Here is a 15400-nt window from a genome sequence, read left to right on the forward strand (position 1 = left end):
ATGGATGGCAGAGTCAAAATCATTTCAGAGGAACTTTCAGTTCGGTACGATTTTACTGAGTAGATACCCTCAGCCTTCTGTAGGGCCCCCGAACGAGCAGTATCCCCTCAAAGAAACTCAATCCTTGGCAGCATGAAGCAAGGTCGGCCACAAAGGCAAAGGGGGCGGCTGCGGTAGAGGAGAGGGAGTGGGTGCTGATTCCCAGCGGGGCAGCCTTCCAAAGGGTGCGCTCTGGAAGAATCTCCCAGGGAGCCGTCTTGGAGGCACTCGGCCCCGCGGAGGGCCGGAGCGAGGGCGCCCAGTGAGGAGCCCAGGCGGAAGGTGGCGGTGCCCCGCTGCCCGCCCCAGATCCACTCGGCTCGGCCCGCACCGGATCTAAAATGGTCAGAACTGGCAGCCGACGCTTCGCGCTCTGGTGATTTTGCACTGACAGCGCGATCTCCGGCTCCTCTCAGGAAACCGGGAGAGCTGGCAAGGCTGGGCTCCTACGGCTGCAGTCCCCGGGCCCGATCGAGGGAACTGAGGCTCGTCAGGCCGGCCCCAAATCGCCCGCCTGTTGCAAGGCCGCCCGCTCCAGCGCGGAGGGTCGCGGCCAGGAAGGCCGCATTCGGACCTGCCGCAGGCAACAGGGCCCGCCCGGGTGCCAGGAGGCCGGCGCGCCAGCAGCCGCGCTGAGGAGGCCTCGCACCCTGGCCCCTGGCCGAGCGCCAGATCCCGGCCCCTACGCGCCCGCGCCCGGGGATCCCGCCGGCCGCGTCCCCGCCACGTCAGGCCGCGGGCTCTCCTCAGGTCGCCGCCCCCGAGCCTCCGGCCCGCGCCCGCCCCCGCGCCCCTCGGACTCCGCGCCGCTAGCTTGTCCCCGGCCCAGCGATGCCTGCTTGCCGCCCGACCCCCGCGTTCGCTGCCGCCCGGCCCGTTCGGCTCACGCCTCGCAGCTGACCTGGTGCCGCCGCCAGCCGAGGCCGCACTCGCAGCTGGAGGGAGGCGGGAGGCGGGAGGCGGGAGGCGCGAGGCGGGAGGCTGGGCGAGAGGAGCCGGCGGGGCGGGGGCCTGGGCCGTCACGTGGGTGCGCCGCGCAGGCGCCGGGCGGGCCAGACGTAGGCCCGGGGGTTCCCGGCCTGGCCGGGTAGCAGCGCGGGGGCGGCCCTGGGGCGGGGAGACAGGGGGCGGCTCCACTCCGGCGCTCTGCGGAGGACAGCAGCGATCGCCAAGGCTCAGTGAGTCCCCGCACTAGCGCGGCACCTGGCACTTGGCGGGGCCGAACCAACGAATGAGCGAATTTGCCGAGAGTCGCCCCGTCTGAATCCATTGACTCTTTCCTTGCCTCGGTCCTACCCTCATTCCTCGACTCACTTCCTCCTGCCCTTCCTCACTATCTCCCTCCCCGCTCATATCCTCCCTCTCCTTTCCTCATTCCCTTCTTCACTCTCTTCTCTCCTCTCTTACTCCCCCCCTCTCATTCCCTCCCTCCTTCACTCTCTCATTCCTTCCCTTCCTATCTTACCCACCATTCCCTTCCTCCCTCACTCATTCACTCCCTCCCTGTCTCCCCCTCTCATCCCCTCCCTCTCTCATTCCCTTTCCCTCCCTCCTTAACTCTCGTTCTCTCCTCCCTCTCTCATTCCTTCCCTCCCTGTCTCATTTCCCCCCTTCTTTCCCTCCCTCCCTCTCCTCTTCTCCCATTGCCTCCCTCCCTCTTTGATTCCCTTCTTTCCTCCTCTCCTCCACTTGTTCCCTTCGTCACGCGCTCATTCCCTCCCTCCCGCGGCCTGCTCCTTCCCCGCTCCCTCCGCGGTCGGTGCCGCTGACCGTAGCGCGCCCCCTGCGGGATATCGGGGAGAATCGCTTAACACCGCCAGAGTGAACAGGTGCTAGTTTGTGTGCCCGTTCCTTTACTGAGATTTTGCAGTAAATCTAATTCCCAGTCTTAAAGCCTGGTCCCAGAGGTCCGTGCGCGGGTCTTGGCATTCATTGTTCTCCACCTCACCTTCGAGCAGGTCCCATCCTCCGAGGCGTATCCGTAATGGCTGCGCCCAGAGCTTGGAGCCACAGAGCCTCCTGATGGGATAAGGTTGGAGTGTCCCACACTGTGGTTTTGAGAGGGACTGTGAAGGGTGGAGAGAGTGGTAGGGGGAGGATGTGGCTGGAGATGGCTCATGGTTAAAAAGAAAGGTGGGGCCGGGCTTGGTGGCTGGCGCCTGTAATCCCAACACTTTGGGAGGCCGAGACGGGCGGATCACGAGGTCAGGAGATGGAAACCATCCTGGCCAACATGGTGAAACCCCATCTCTACCAAAACACACACAAAAAAACTAGCCGGTCGTGGTGGCGCGCACCTGTAGTCCCAGCTACTCGGGAGCCTGAGGCAGGAGAATCGCTTGAACCCGGGAGGCAGAGGTTGCAGTGAGCCGAGATCACGCGCCACTGCACTCCAGCCTGGTGACAGAGCGAGACTCCGTCTCAAAAAAAAAAAAAAAAAAAAAAAAAAAAATTGGTGGAAGGGGAATGTAAAAGGAGGAAAATACACGGAAGAGAATTGCTGTCCTGGCTGAGTCCAGAGAGATAACTGAGGGTCCCAGACAAGGATCAAGAGAACGGGATTGGCCTCCAGAGGCAGAGGTTCCAAATGGGAGTGGGCTTCCTCCTAGAAAGACTTTCTGGAGGAGACCCCCCTACTGTGTAACAGAGGAGGACTTTGGGATTAAGAAAAGCATTCCAGGAAGCCGACAGTGTCAGCAAACGTGGAGGTGAGATCCTTCAAAGTGAGTGGTGTGGAGGTTTCCAGAATTTTCTGAGCCTGAAGGGAAGGTTGGAGAGCAGACCCTGCCCTTTGGAGGCTTGACTTAGCCCTGAGGGCACCCTGTAGCCAGGGTGGGCAGATGCCAATATGGTAGAGACGAAGACTGAGTAGGGAGCCAGCCACAGTGCTGTGGTCTCAGGCAGGGAGTGAAGACCAGAGTGGAGCAGGCTAGAAACCTGGGAAGGAAGCAGGTTCCCCAGTATAAGCCCAGTGATGTGTGAAGAATGAGCCCAGGAGATGGGTGGGGAAGTAGGCCCACCCTGCCTACAGGGGAGCCAGAGCAAGAGCAGGTCTGGGGGAAGATGAGGCCCCCCTTGGCTCCAGGTAGGGGAAGACTGACCTCCAAGGCCCAATGGGACCAGGTGTACGGGTGGACCCAGAGAGGAGAGGAAAAGGAATCCTGGGGCAGCAACAAGAAGGCCACTGTGGTCTGAATGTCGGTACCCCCAAAATTCATATGTTGGAACTGAATCCTCAGTGCGATACTATTATAAAGTAGGGCCTTTGGGAGGGGTTTAGGTCATGAGGGTGAAGTCCTCACCATGGGATCAGTGTATAAAAGAGGTTCGAAGGAGCTCATCCCCCACTTTTGCCAGGTGAGGACACTGTAATAAGCACCATCTTCAAGGCAGAGAATCGGCTGGGCGCAGTGGCTCACGCCTGTAATCCCAGCACTTTGGGAAGCCGAGGTGGGAGGATCATGAGGTCAGGAGATCAAGACCATCCTGGCTAACATGGTGAAACCCCATCTCTACTAAAAATACAAAAAATTAGCCAGGCATGGTGGTGGGCGCCTGTAGTCCCAGCTACTTGGGAGGCTGAGGCAGGAGAATGGCGTGAACCCGGGAGGCAGAGCTTGCAGTGAGCTGAGATCGCGCCACTGCACTCCAGCCTGGGTGACAGAGCAAGACTCCGTCTCAAAAAAAAAAAGCAGAGAACGGACCCCTCACTAGACACTGGGGCTTTTTTCTGAAGGCTACTGTGTCATATAAAATTTATATTAAATAAATTGATATGCTTTTCTCTTGTTAATCTGTCCTTTGTTAGAGGGGTGTCAACCAGGAACCTTGTGATGCGTGAGGAAAAAATATTACCTTTTCCCCCTACTCTTTCTGGCACCCAACAAACAAGTGGGGTGGCAAAGACACCCCACTTGGGACAACTGGCAAAAGGTAAGCATTCTTACCAAGGTTAACTGTCCCATATCACTGCCTGTAGTACTCAGCTGAGAGTGGAAGGTAAAAACTTCTTGTCCCTTCCTTTCCAAATTCAAATTAGCAGAAGAAAACATTGTGTCTGGATTGTGACTCTTGCTTAAATTTGGTTGAGGGGTAACTGTTTGTTATTGATCCTTTCCTCCCAGGCACAGCTACCTCTTTCCTGTTTGTTTTATTTGTGTCCTGAGAGCTTGGCTTTATGACCAGTGAGAATATTCTCCCTGATCTCTGAATAGCCAGTGGGTGCAAGTGACAGCTTGCTTTAGGACAGCTTGCGTTAGGGTTGCAAGTAACAGCTTGCATTATTACAAACTCCTCTGTCCCGGTCAGAAAAAGAGAAAGTTTGGTTTTTGTTTGTTTGTTTGTTTTTTGTTTTGTTTTAATAGTCTTGCTCTTTCGCCCAGGCTGGAGTGCAGTGGCATGGTGGCATGATCTTGGCTCACTGCAACTGCTGCATCCTGGGCTCAACTGATTCTTCTGCCTCAGCCTCCTGAGTAGCTGGGACTACAGGCACACACTACCACGTCCAGGTAATTTTTTTTGTATTTTTAGTAAAGAGGGGGATTCATCATGTTGCGCAGGGTGATTTTTTTTTTTTTTTTTTAATTCTTTTCTGAGACGGAGTCTTGCTCTGTCACCCAGGCTGGAGTGCAATGGCGGGATCTCGGCTCAGCCTCCTGAGTAGCTGGGATTACAGGCACCTGCCACTACGCCAGCTAATTTCTGTATTTTTAGTAGAGACAGGGTTTCACCATGTTAGTCAGGCTGGTCTCGAACTCCTGACCTCGGGTGATCTGCCCACCTCGGCCTCCCAAAGTGCTGGGATTACAGGCATGAGCCACCGTGGCTGGCCTCTTTTATTTTTAAGATACAGGGTCTCACCCAAGCTGGTCAGGAACTCCTGGCCTCAGTCCACCTGTCTCAGCCTCCCAAAGTGCTAGGATTACAGGCATGAGGGACCACGCCCGGCCAAAGAGAAGGTTCTGAACCTTCTCTTTTTCTGACCATGACAGAGGAGTTTGTAAGTGGGCCAAGTCTATAAGGGGTTTTTGTTGTCTCAGTATTCATTGGTGTGATAGATGAGCCAGTCCATGACTGGAGACGTGACAGTGTTCTGTACAAGATGACATCCTTAGTCACCTGTGTCAACAAAGGTGCCTTCTGGCTAGGCACGGTGGCTCACGCCTATAATCCTAGCACTTTAGGAGGCTGAGCCAGGCAAATCACGAGGTCAGGAGTTAGAGACCAGCCTGACCAACATGGTGAAACCCTGTCTCTACTAAAAATACAAAAAAATTAGCCAGGTGTGGTGGCGCATGCCTGTAATCCTAGCTATTCGGGAGGCTGAGGCAGGAGAATGGGTTGAATCTAGGAGGCAGAGGTTGCAGTGAGCCAAGATCGCGCCACTGTACTCTAGCCTGGGTGACAGAGCGAGACTCCGTCTCAAAAAAAAAAAAAAAACCCAAAGGTGCCTTCTTTCTTTTGACTGTCTTTGCAAGGGGTCTGGATTTGAGAGTGCTGAATCTTTGTGCACCCTCTTTGGAGTGTGTCTTTCTCTCTCTCTCTCTCTCTTTTTTAAGAGACAGAGTCTCACCCAGACTGATCAGGAACTCCTGGCCTCAGGTGGTCCTCCCACCTTGACTTCCCAGAGTGCTGAGATTACAGGCATGAGCCATTGTGCCCAGCCTTGAGGATGTCTCTTTTGTCCATGGTTAAGTCATAAAATGCTTATTGGTCTTGGTTCTGAGTTGCTTGGTAGGTACCTTTGGTTTACAAGAAGAAAAGTGGTGGGTGGGCAGGGTGGTAGTAGGGAAGAGTGTTCAGTACTGCCAGGAATATGTACTATCTGTTCTGGCTGAAAACTGACAATGAGATATTTGAAAGGATTTTTTTTTTTTTTACAGCTCTATGATCAGAAGATGGCATAAGTGGGGCTGGGCACAGTGGCTCAGTGCCCAGCTGGGATTACGCCTGTAATACCAGCACTTTGGGAGGCCAAGGTGAGTGGATCACGAGGTCAGGAGTTGAAGACCAGCCTGGCCAACATGGAGAAACCCCGTCTCTACTAAAAATACAAAAAATTAGCCGGGCGCGGTGGCAGGTGCCTGTAATCCCAGCTACTCGGGAGGCTGAGGCAGGAGAATAGCTTGAACTCAGAGGGCGGAGGTTGCAGTGAGCCAAGGTTGCGCCACTGCACTCCAGCCTGGGCGACAGAGTGAGACTCCGTCTCTAAAAAACAAAAAAGAAGATGGCGTAATCAGAAGTTGATATTCTGTCTATTGGATCCTGCTTCTCCCCTGGGGTCTTCTTGGTTCCCTGAAGCCCCTCTTCCGGAGTCCCTGCCCTCTATCGGCTCTGCCTCCTGCTTCTTTTCTGTATTGCCATGATTTTTGCTAAGGATAAAGGACAACTTCATTGGCTTCTTTGGGAAACTTGCAATCTCCCCAAACAGGCCCCTCTGAGATTTCTCCTTTCCATTTGCTTCTGCTCCCCCTTCCTCCTTTTGCCACCTTCGATATTTTCTCCAGTTTCCTTGATTCCTTTGATACGTCCCCATTCAGGCCACTCTGGCCCTCCATCCAACCTGCCAGAACTTTTTCCACTTCAGCACTTCAGTCACTTAAACATTAGGGCTCCCTGCCCTAAAGGGACTCAAAATCCTGCAAAAACAACCACCTAAGGATAAAAAGAGAAAAAATGAAACTGTTTGGAAACTGGGCAAATGAATACTCTTTTAAAAGTCTTTTTCTGGGGGCCAGGTGTGGTGGCTCACGCCTGTAATCCCAGCACTTTGGGAGGCCGAGGCGGGCAGATCACAAGGTCAGGAGTTCAAGACCAGCCTGGCCAATATGGTGAAACCCCGTCTCTCCTAATGATACAAAAAAAATTAGCCAGGTGTGGTGGCATTCGCCTGTAGTCCCAGCTACTTGGGAGGCTGAGGAAGGAGAATCGCTTGAACCCGGGAGGCGGAGGTTGCAGTGAGCCAAGATTGCACCACTGCACCAGCCTGGCGACAGAGCAAGAAGACTCCATCTCGAAAAATATATATGTATGTATATATACGTATTTACGTGTATATATGTATGCATACATATATATATATATAGAGAGAGAGAGAAACCAGTGAGTTTGTATTACTGTGTTTTACTGACTCACGACTACCATTTTGGAATGAAAGCTATAAGATCTTTGTGTTTTTACGTTTATGTGTTTATATTTGTGTATATCTATGTATGTATGTTTGAATATTATATATAATATTTTTTCTATCTCCATATTCAGTATTACTAACTGAATTTTTTTTTTTTTTTGAGATGGAGTCTCACTCTGTCACCAGGCTGGAGTGCAGTGGCATGATCTCGGCTCACTGCAACCTCCGCCTCCCAGGTTCAAACAATTCTCCTGCCTCAGTCTCCTGAGTAGCTGGGACTACAGGTGCGAGCCACCATGCCCAGCTAATTTTTGTATTTTTAGTAGAGACGAGGTTTCACCATGTTGGCCAGCATGGCCTCTATCTCTTGACCTAGTGATCCACCCACCTCGGCCTCCCAAAGTCCTGGGATTACAGGCATGAGTCACCACGCCCAGCCTAAATTTTTTAAATCCCTTAAAGGAGTTATATTCAAATTGTACCCTCCTTTGAAGATGTCTCTTTTGTCTGTGGTGTCTTAAAAGGATTATTGGTCTTAGAGGGAGGTAAATAAGCATTCATACAAGCTAAATATTACCAAAAATTTAAGAAAAATAGAAACTAATCCAACTGCTTTTTAGTTTACATGATCTGGAATATTCTTTAGTAAATAAAGCTAGTTTGAAAATTGATGGACTACGCCGGGTGCAGTGGCTCAGGCCTGTAGTCCCAGCACTTTGGGAGGCCAAGGCGGGCGGATCACGAGGTCAGGAGATCAAGACCATCCTGACTAACACGGTGAAACCCTGTCTCTACTAAAAATACAAAAAATTAGCCAGGTGTGGCAGCATGGGCCTGTAGTCCCCAGCTACTTGGGAGGCTGAGGCAGGAGAATGGCGTGAACCCAGGAGGCGGAGCTTGCAGTGAGCTGAGATCACGCCACTGTACTCCAGCCTGGGCAACAAAGCAAGACTCCGTTTCAAAAAAGAAAATTGATGGACTAGTCAAACAAGTTTTATGTTATCACTACTGAATGGTAAAGATAATAAAACTATCAATCCAACCTAAGAGCAAAATGTGCAATAAAAATGAATTGCGGCTGGGCTCACCCCTGTAGTCCCAGCAGTTTGGGAGGCCGAGGCGGGCGGATCACCTGAGGTCAGGAGTTTAAGACCAGCCTGGCCAATATGGTGAAACCTGGTCTCTACTAAAAATAAAAAGTAAGGCCAGGTGTGGTGGCGGGACCTACCTGTAATCCCAGCTACTTGGGAGGCTGGGGCAGGAGAATCGCTTGAACCTGGGAGGTGGAGGTTGCAGTGAGCCGAGATCGTGCCACTGCACTCCAGCCTGGGAGACAGTGCGAGACTCCATCTCAAAAAAAAAAAAAAAAATTGGGCACGGTGGTACAAGCCTGTAATCCCAGCTACTTGGGAGTCTGAGGCAGGAGAATTGCTTCAACCTGGGAGGCGGAGGTTGCAATGAGCCAAGATCGTGCTGCTGCACTCCAGCCCAGGCAACAGAGTGAGACTTTGTCTCAAAAAAAAAATGAATTGCATGGCTTGGCGCGGTGGCCCATGCCTGTAATCCAGCACTTTGGGAGACTGAGGCAGGTGGATATTTGAGGTCAGGAGTTCGAGACCAGCCTAGCCAACATGGTGAAACCCCATCTCTACTAAAAATACAAAAAATTAGCCAAGTATGGTGGCGTGCGCCTGTAATCCCAGTTACCTGGGAGGCTGAGGCAGAATTGCTTGAACCCAGGAGCTGGAGGTTGCAATGAGCCAAGATTGCACCACTGCACTCCAGCCTGGGCAACAGAGTGAGACTCCATCTCAAAAAAAAAAAAAAAAGAAACAATAACCACTCCCTCCCTACCTCCACATACATAAGTGATTACAGGCTCCAGGCCAAACACACAGAGGAGTTACATCTGGCTGGTGCTAGGATGGAAGGTGGGGCAGGTCACCACCTCCCAGGGACTGAGTGCCAAAGCAAGGAGGAAGATTGGAGGTGAGGCTGTATGGAGACAGCCACAGGCTCACAGAGCTTGTGCTGAGCTCTCTAGGGGGAAGCTTGATCTGCCTGGGAAGCTTCCAGCTCCTACCTCCTGCAGAGCCCAGAATGGTGTCCAGGAAATATGTGGCCATTGAGTGGAACCAGCCTTGGCATGGTAGCCTGCAGGAACCCGCAGGCTAGAGACATGGCCACATGAGCAGTGAGGATCTCCCCCGAGATGAGGATCCCCAGAACATAGTGTGGGATGCAGGTCTGGCCTCTGCATACCCTCGGCTTCCTCCATCACTTATTCTCAGACATCTAAACCACTAACATCCAGACTGGGGATCCCAGGAGGGTCTACAGTGTCAAGAGAGGGCAAGTCCACTTCAGGATCAACCTTCCTGTGGCCCCTTACTTTCCTTGGTCCACCTTTCCAGGTCACCCATCCAGACTGTCACCAGGGATCACTGCCCTGGGCACCAACCCAATGCGGGGACAAGTAGAAAAAGAGCTCTGGGGAAAATACCAAAGGGAATAGTCACTCAATTTTACTGTGATGATAAACTCCTGGCAAAGTTCCAGGCCTCTCTCTGTCTGTGTCTGTGAATTATGTGTCTGTGTCTCCATCAACCATAGTGCAGAAGGGGGAGGGTTGTCCTAAGTATCCTATTAACATGTTTGTTTGTTTGTTTGTTTGAGACAGAGTTTCGCTCTTGTTGCCCAGGCTGCAGTGCAATGGCATAATCTCAGCTCACTGCAACCTCCACCTCCTGGGTTCAAGTGATTCTCGTGCCTCAGCCTCCTGAGTAGCTGGGATTACAGGCACACACCACCATGCCTGGCTACTTTTGTATTTTTAGTAGAGACGGGGTTTCACTATGTTGGCCAAGCTGGTCTCGAACTCCTGACCTCAGGTGATCCACCTGCCTCAGCTTCCCAAAGTGCTGGGATTATAGGCGTGAGCCACCATGCCCAGCCAGAACACAGGACTTTCAAAACTTAAACCTGGGGCTGGGCACGGTGGCTCACACCTGTAATCCCAGCACTTTGGGAGGCCGAGGCAGGCGGATCACCTGTCAGGAGTTCAAGACCAGCCTGGGCAACATGGTGAAACCCCATCTTTACTAAAAATAAAATAAAATAAAATACAAAAATGAGTCGGGCGTGGTGGCGCACTGTAGTCCCAGCTACTGGGGAGGCTGAGGCACGAGAATCACTTGAACCCCGGATGGCGGGGACTGCAGTAAGCGATCACGCCACTGCACTCAAGCCTGGCAGACCTAGCGAGACTCTGTCTCAAAAAAAAAGAAAACAAGGCTGGGCGTGGTGGCTCACGCCTGTAATCCCAACACTTTGGGAGGCCAAGGCGGGTGGATCGCCAGGTCAGGAGATTGAGAACATCCTGGCCAACATGGTGAAACCCTGTCTCCACCAAAAATACAAAAATTAGCCAGATGTGGTGCCAGGTGCTTGTAGTCCCAGCTACTCAGGAGGCTGAGGCAGGAGAATCACTTGAACCTGAGAGGCGGAGGATGCAGTGAGCTGAGATTGCGCCACTGCACTCCAGCTTGGGCGACAGAGTGAGACTCTGTCTCAAAAAAAAAAAAAAAAAAAAAAAAAAAAAAACCAAGGGCCGGGCGCGGTGGCTCACGCCTGTAATCCCAGCAATTTGGGAGGCCGAGGCAGGCGGATCATGAGGTCAGGAGATCGAGACCATCCTGGCTAACACGGTGAAACCCTGTCTCTACTAAAAATACAAAAAAATTAGCTGGGCGTGGTGGCGGGCGCCTGTAGTCCCAGCTACTTGGGAGGCTGAGGCAGGAGAATGGCGTGAACCCGGGAGGCGGAGCTTGCAGTGAGCCAAGATTGTGCCACTGCACTCCAGCCTGGGCAACAGAGCAAGACTCCATCTCAAAAAACAAACAAACAAACAACAACAACAAAATAAAACAAGGAAAAAAACACTAAAACCTTGGATGTCCTGGGCAACCCCGGTCAAGATGATCACTCTAGATAGAGTTTTTAAAAATTAGTTTTCAGCCTGGCCAAGATGGTGAAACCCTGTCTCTACTAAGGATACAAAAAATTAGCTGGGCTTCGTAGCAGGCACCTGTAATCCCAGCTACTTGGGAGGCTGAGGCAGGAGAATCACTTGAACCCGGGAGGCAGAGGTTGCAGTGAGCCGAGATGTCACCACAGCACTCCAGTCTGGGCAACAGGGCGAGACTCCATCTCAAAAAAAAAAAATTAGTTTTGCCACCGGGCACGGTGGCTCATGCCTGTAATCCCAGCACTTTGGGAGGCCGAGGTAGGTGGATCACCTGAGGTCAGGAGTTCGAGACCAGCCTGGCCAACGTGGTGAAACCCTGTCTCTACTAAAAATACAAAAATTAGCCAGGCATGGTGGGGTACGCTTGTAATCCCAGCTACTGGGGAAGCTGAGGTGGGAGAATTGCGTGAACCCGGGAGACAGAGGTTGCAGTGAGCCGAGATGGCACCACTGCACTCCAGCCTGGCCAACAAGGGCTAAATTCTATCCCCCCCCCCTCAAAAAAAACAATAACGATTTTGGGAGTATTAGAGCAGAAAACGTTTGAAAACATGAACAGCTCTCACATCAACACAAGACATGAAACTCTGTTGGCAAGAGAGGCCTCTTTGGGGAGAGTGCTCACTCCTCTCCCACCCACTCTCTACCACCTTCAACCTCCTGTCTGGGGCACAGTAACAAGGGGTGTAAGGGGTGTACAGTGCCTAGCAGGGGCCTGGCACTTAGGCTTCAGTAGGTGCCAGTCCACAGTCTCCTGAGGCCCATGTTGGTTGGTGTCCACCTGGTGCTTATTGACCACTTGGGCTCCAGATTTTCCTCACGTCACCTCCCTCCCCAGGGTAGCAGATAAAGGCCCCATAGTTCCAAGGAGGCAGAACTTTTACATTCCTAAAAGCATTCTCAGGCCCCCATAACCCCTCATCCCACCTTCAGCTCGCTCACCTTCACCTATCAAATTCGTTTGACATCTGGCCTCCAGCAACTAGCTAGGCTGAGTTCTCCATGAAGGGGACGTGGCTGCTGGTCAAAAGGGAAAGCCCATGTCTAAAAATTAATTAACGTGGTTTAGGGGCCTCACATTCCCAACCCCCAAATACAGCCATTGTGAGATGTGAGATTCAAAAAATCGAAGAGTGAAGCGGTGATGAGAGTCCATCTGGTCGCTCTTCGGATGCGGCGCTAGCAGGCAGTTGCATGAAAGCAGATCCCAGATCACGTTGCACTGGCACACAGTAGGTACCCACACATATTTGATAAATAAACACTCTCTCCCTAGCATTACTATAGATAGCTGGCAGCTTGGCCTGGCATCCCGGAGGGGTCTGGATCTCAGGGACTAGATAAGGCCAGCACACTGAAGAGTTGCAGAAAATGCAGGCGGTCAGGCGCAGGTCTGCTGCGGGAGCACCTGCCGTGTCCGACAGCTGCACTGGAAGAGGGGCGTGTGTCTCCCAGCCGGGCGGAACCGAGACCGCTTCGTCCCCGGCGGGGAACTTCATTTCCCACAAGCCTGTGCGCGAGACTCCATTTCCCACAAGCCCTCCTTCACTTCCGGCTCGGCCGAGGCACTGCGGACGGCTTCCGGGTTTGGGCCTGGCTCTGTGACTGAGGCGGCGGCGGTGGCGGCCAAGCGGGATACGGGCGGCGGGAGCTGGGGAACAGGCATGGACGTTTCCGGGCAAGAGACCGACTGGCGGAGCACCGCCTTCCGGCAGAAGCTGGTCAGTCAAATGTGAGTAGTGGTCGGGGCAGGGGGCTGGATTGTGGGACCTTCCTCCTTAGCGTGGCGGGCGAGGCCAGGGCCGGACCCGTGAGAAACCTACGGCGCCGGGAGACAGAAGGCGCCGGGGACTTGCGTGGGTCCCAGGGCTCGGGCCCCCCCGTCTGTCCCCTCCGTTCCCGACATGGACTGCTCGTTTGCTTTCCTGGGGCCGAGCTCTGCAAACCAACGAGCCCTGGCTTATGAATCATCGTCTTGAGCTTTCTCATTCGTCATTTGTGTGCTTTGGGTGCAGACTTTCCCCCGCTTTTTGAACCACACTGAATAGGGAAAGGGAGAGAAGCAGCCGGCTGTAGTGGGTTTAGCAGGGCTGGGTGCTTCATGGTTTCTCTTCCAGAAAAGCGCATCAACGGTGAAAGAAAGTGATGGGAGGAGGGTGGATGTAAGATGAGATTGGGAAGGTAGTTGTTTGGGGTGTGGGCGGTGGGACGGAGGATCTGAGGGTGACCCCCCGAAGGAATGTGGACTTTGCCGAAGGATGGCAGGAAGCCGCTGTCAGGAAGCGATCGTCGTTTCTGGAGGAGAGCGTGAAGAGCTGGGGTCAGTGGCCCCGCTCAGAGGAACTCTAGCCCCTCACCACCGACTGCTTGTTTCTGTTAGCAGTTTTTTTCATGCGCGTCCGTGTGAAGAGACCACCAAACAGGCTTTGTGTGAGCAATAAAGCTGTTTATTTCACCTGGGTGCAGGTGGGCTGAGTCCGAAAAGAGAGTCAGCGAAGGGAGATAGGGGTGGGGTCGTTTTATAGGATTTGGGAAGGTAATGGAAAATTAGTCAATTGTTCTCTGGTGGGCAGGGATGGATCTCACAAAGTACATTCTCAAGGGTGGGGAGAATTACAAAGAACCTTCTTAAGGGTGGGGGAGATTACAAAGTACATTGATCAGTTAGGGTGGGGCAGGAACAAATCACAATGGTGGAATGTCATCAGTTACGGCTGTTTTTACTTCTTTTGTGGATCTTCAGTTACTTCAGGCCATCTGGATGTATACGTGCAAGTCACAGGGGATGCGATGGCCTGGCCTGGGCTCAGAGGCCTGACAGTTTTTAACTGAGCTTATTGGCGTGTTGTGCTCGCCACAGATTTGCCTGAGACACAGCCCCTTTCCTGAGGGATGGTAAAGGAACCGTCACAGCGCAGTCTTGTCAGTCTGTAATGTGTATACTGCAGGGGTTTCTTGCGAAGCGGCGGTTAACTTGAGCAGACCAGGGGCAGTCTAGTGAGTAGGTGACGAATAAATTGAGTCCTAGAAAGACAAGTAGGAGTGTGAATAGCCACCATTCCAAGCTGAGGAGTTAGGAAACATGAGCATTTACTGCGTGGAGGGAGGATCTTGTAGGCTGAGAGTTCTGGGGCTCGAGGAGTAAGAGAGCCCAGGAGATGATGGAATGAGGGTGAGCAGGTACTAGCACTTTAGTGGGGGTGTTGTGCCAAGGAATTGAGCCTGTGTTTGGCATGTGGCATTCTTTGGAGTAGTGAAATGCCAGTGTTGGGAATATGCCTAGAGTCCCTGTCCCTGGAGATGGATGCAGGGCAGAGAAGAGAGACCAGTTAAGCTATTAAGAGAGTTTGAACATTTGGAGGGAGTAGGGAACCTGTCCTTTTTCATCCTTATATTCTCACTGCTAGCTCACTGCCTGCCACATTGCTCCGTAAAATGATTGTGGCATGACCTAGTCGGGCGGGAGATTATAAAGGCCTGCATTAGACAGTGGTAGAAACTGAAAGAGGAAGACAGATTCCAGAGGAGGGGGAACGTAGACAATTCTTGATGACTAACTGGATGGAGGGGGGTGGGGTGTGGGGTGAAGCATTGTGGAAGGAAGGAAGCCGGGCTGAATGCTGGGAAACCTTTCAGTACAGTGGAAAGAGTAGGGACTGTAGAGTTAGTAGCTATGGGCTTTGGGAAGAATAGCCTTGGGATATTTCTGGGGATATTGCACAATCAGTGAACAGTGTTTTACTGATAAAATATAGTTATCTGTAGGTGAAAACTTGAGAGATATCCCACTTCAGGGTTCCTGCAAGAAAAGTCCCCAGGGCAAGGGTTCTTCTCTGGGAAAGCCCAGAATTAAGAACTGGAAGGGTGAGTTGTCATCAAAGAAAATGGGGGTAGGGGAAGTGTTAAGAGGGCTGGGAGGGTGATTGAAGAGTTTATGGGTGTTGAGTGACTGGATACTTCATAACTCAGCTTTATTTTGCTTCCGGGAGAATTGAGTTCTTTATTTTTTTCGATATTGCTGTTTGTGTGTTTTTCTGTTGCCGCTCTAACAAATTACCACAAGTTTAGCATCTTAAAACAACACACCTTTAGCCAGGTGTGGTGGCTCACGCCTGTAATCCCAGCACTTTGGGAGACTGAGGCAGGCGGATCACGAGGTCAAGAGACTGAGACCCATCCTGGCCAACACGGTGAAACCCTATCTC

General features: G+C 52.4%; 2 protein-coding genes and 1 long non-coding RNA gene across 23 annotated transcripts in view, besides 4 other annotated features; 2 read left to right on the plus strand and 1 right to left on the minus strand.

Moving 5' to 3' along the window:
* Positions 1-976, minus strand: part of KLHL22 (kelch like family member 22) — a 54277-nt gene extending 53301 nt beyond the window's left edge. For all 6 annotated transcript variants that reach the window (NR_033825.2, XR_001755341.3, XM_017029025.2 and 3 more), the window contains exon 1: positions 941-976. The gene's annotated coding sequence lies outside the window, so the exon portion shown is untranslated. The remainder of the gene's footprint in view (positions 1-940) is intronic.
* Positions 636-1295: a silencer, noted in NCBI's record as "silent region_13496". NCBI's record gives its function as "represses an Ori minimal core promoter by ATAC-STARR-seq in GM12878 lymphoblastoid cells {active_cell/tissue: GM12878}" and the evidence as "EXISTENCE:reporter gene assay evidence [ECO:0000049][PMID:35858748]".
* LOC101928824 (uncharacterized) lies at positions 1094-6437 on the plus strand. Of its 4 annotated transcripts, none has more exons than XR_007068011.1 (4): positions 1094-1868; positions 3848-3972; positions 4422-4547; positions 5922-6437. It is a non-coding gene; the product is annotated as an uncharacterized LOC101928824 (long non-coding RNA). The 4 variants fall into 4 exon arrangements; XR_001755618.2 differs by having other exon boundaries at positions 1094-1217; XR_007068012.1 differs by lacking the exon at positions 4422-4547 and having other exon boundaries at positions 5922-6016.
* Positions 1490-2142: an enhancer, noted in NCBI's record as "H3K27ac-H3K4me1 hESC enhancer chr22:20850596-20851248 (GRCh37/hg19 assembly coordinates)". NCBI's record gives its function as "activates a minimal SCP1, AML or CMV promoter by ChIP-STARR-seq in naive H9 embryonic stem cells {active_cell/tissue: H9 hESC(naive)}" and the evidence as "EXISTENCE:reporter gene assay evidence [ECO:0000049][PMID:30033119]".
* Positions 10395-10894: an enhancer, noted in NCBI's record as "H3K4me1 hESC enhancer chr22:20859501-20860000 (GRCh37/hg19 assembly coordinates)". NCBI's record gives its function as "activates a minimal SCP1, AML or CMV promoter by ChIP-STARR-seq in naive H9 embryonic stem cells {active_cell/tissue: H9 hESC(naive)}" and the evidence as "EXISTENCE:reporter gene assay evidence [ECO:0000049][PMID:30033119]".
* Positions 12774-12883: an enhancer, noted in NCBI's record as "active region_18679". NCBI's record gives its function as "activates an Ori minimal core promoter by ATAC-STARR-seq in GM12878 lymphoblastoid cells {active_cell/tissue: GM12878}" and the evidence as "EXISTENCE:reporter gene assay evidence [ECO:0000049][PMID:35858748]".
* MED15 (mediator complex subunit 15) overlaps positions 12791-15400 on the plus strand; it is an 80010-nt gene continuing 77400 nt past the window's right edge. For 11 of the 13 annotated variants that reach the window (XM_047441395.1, XM_047441398.1, XM_047441401.1 and 8 more), the window contains exon 1: positions 12791-12927. Coding sequence is in view for 8 of the 13 variants with exons in the window: in NM_001003891.3 (NP_001003891.1) it covers positions 12860-12927 (68 nt within the window). In the remaining 5 variants the exon portion in view is untranslated. Of the gene's footprint in view, positions 12928-13227; positions 13626-15400 lie in introns of those variants that run through there. The other 2 variants (NM_001293235.2, NM_001293237.2) reach the window with 2 other exon arrangements.

This window comes from Homo sapiens, chromosome 22, assembly GCF_000001405.40.
Source record: "Homo sapiens chromosome 22, GRCh38.p14 Primary Assembly".
NCBI lineage: Eukaryota > Metazoa > Chordata > Mammalia > Primates > Hominidae > Homo > Homo sapiens.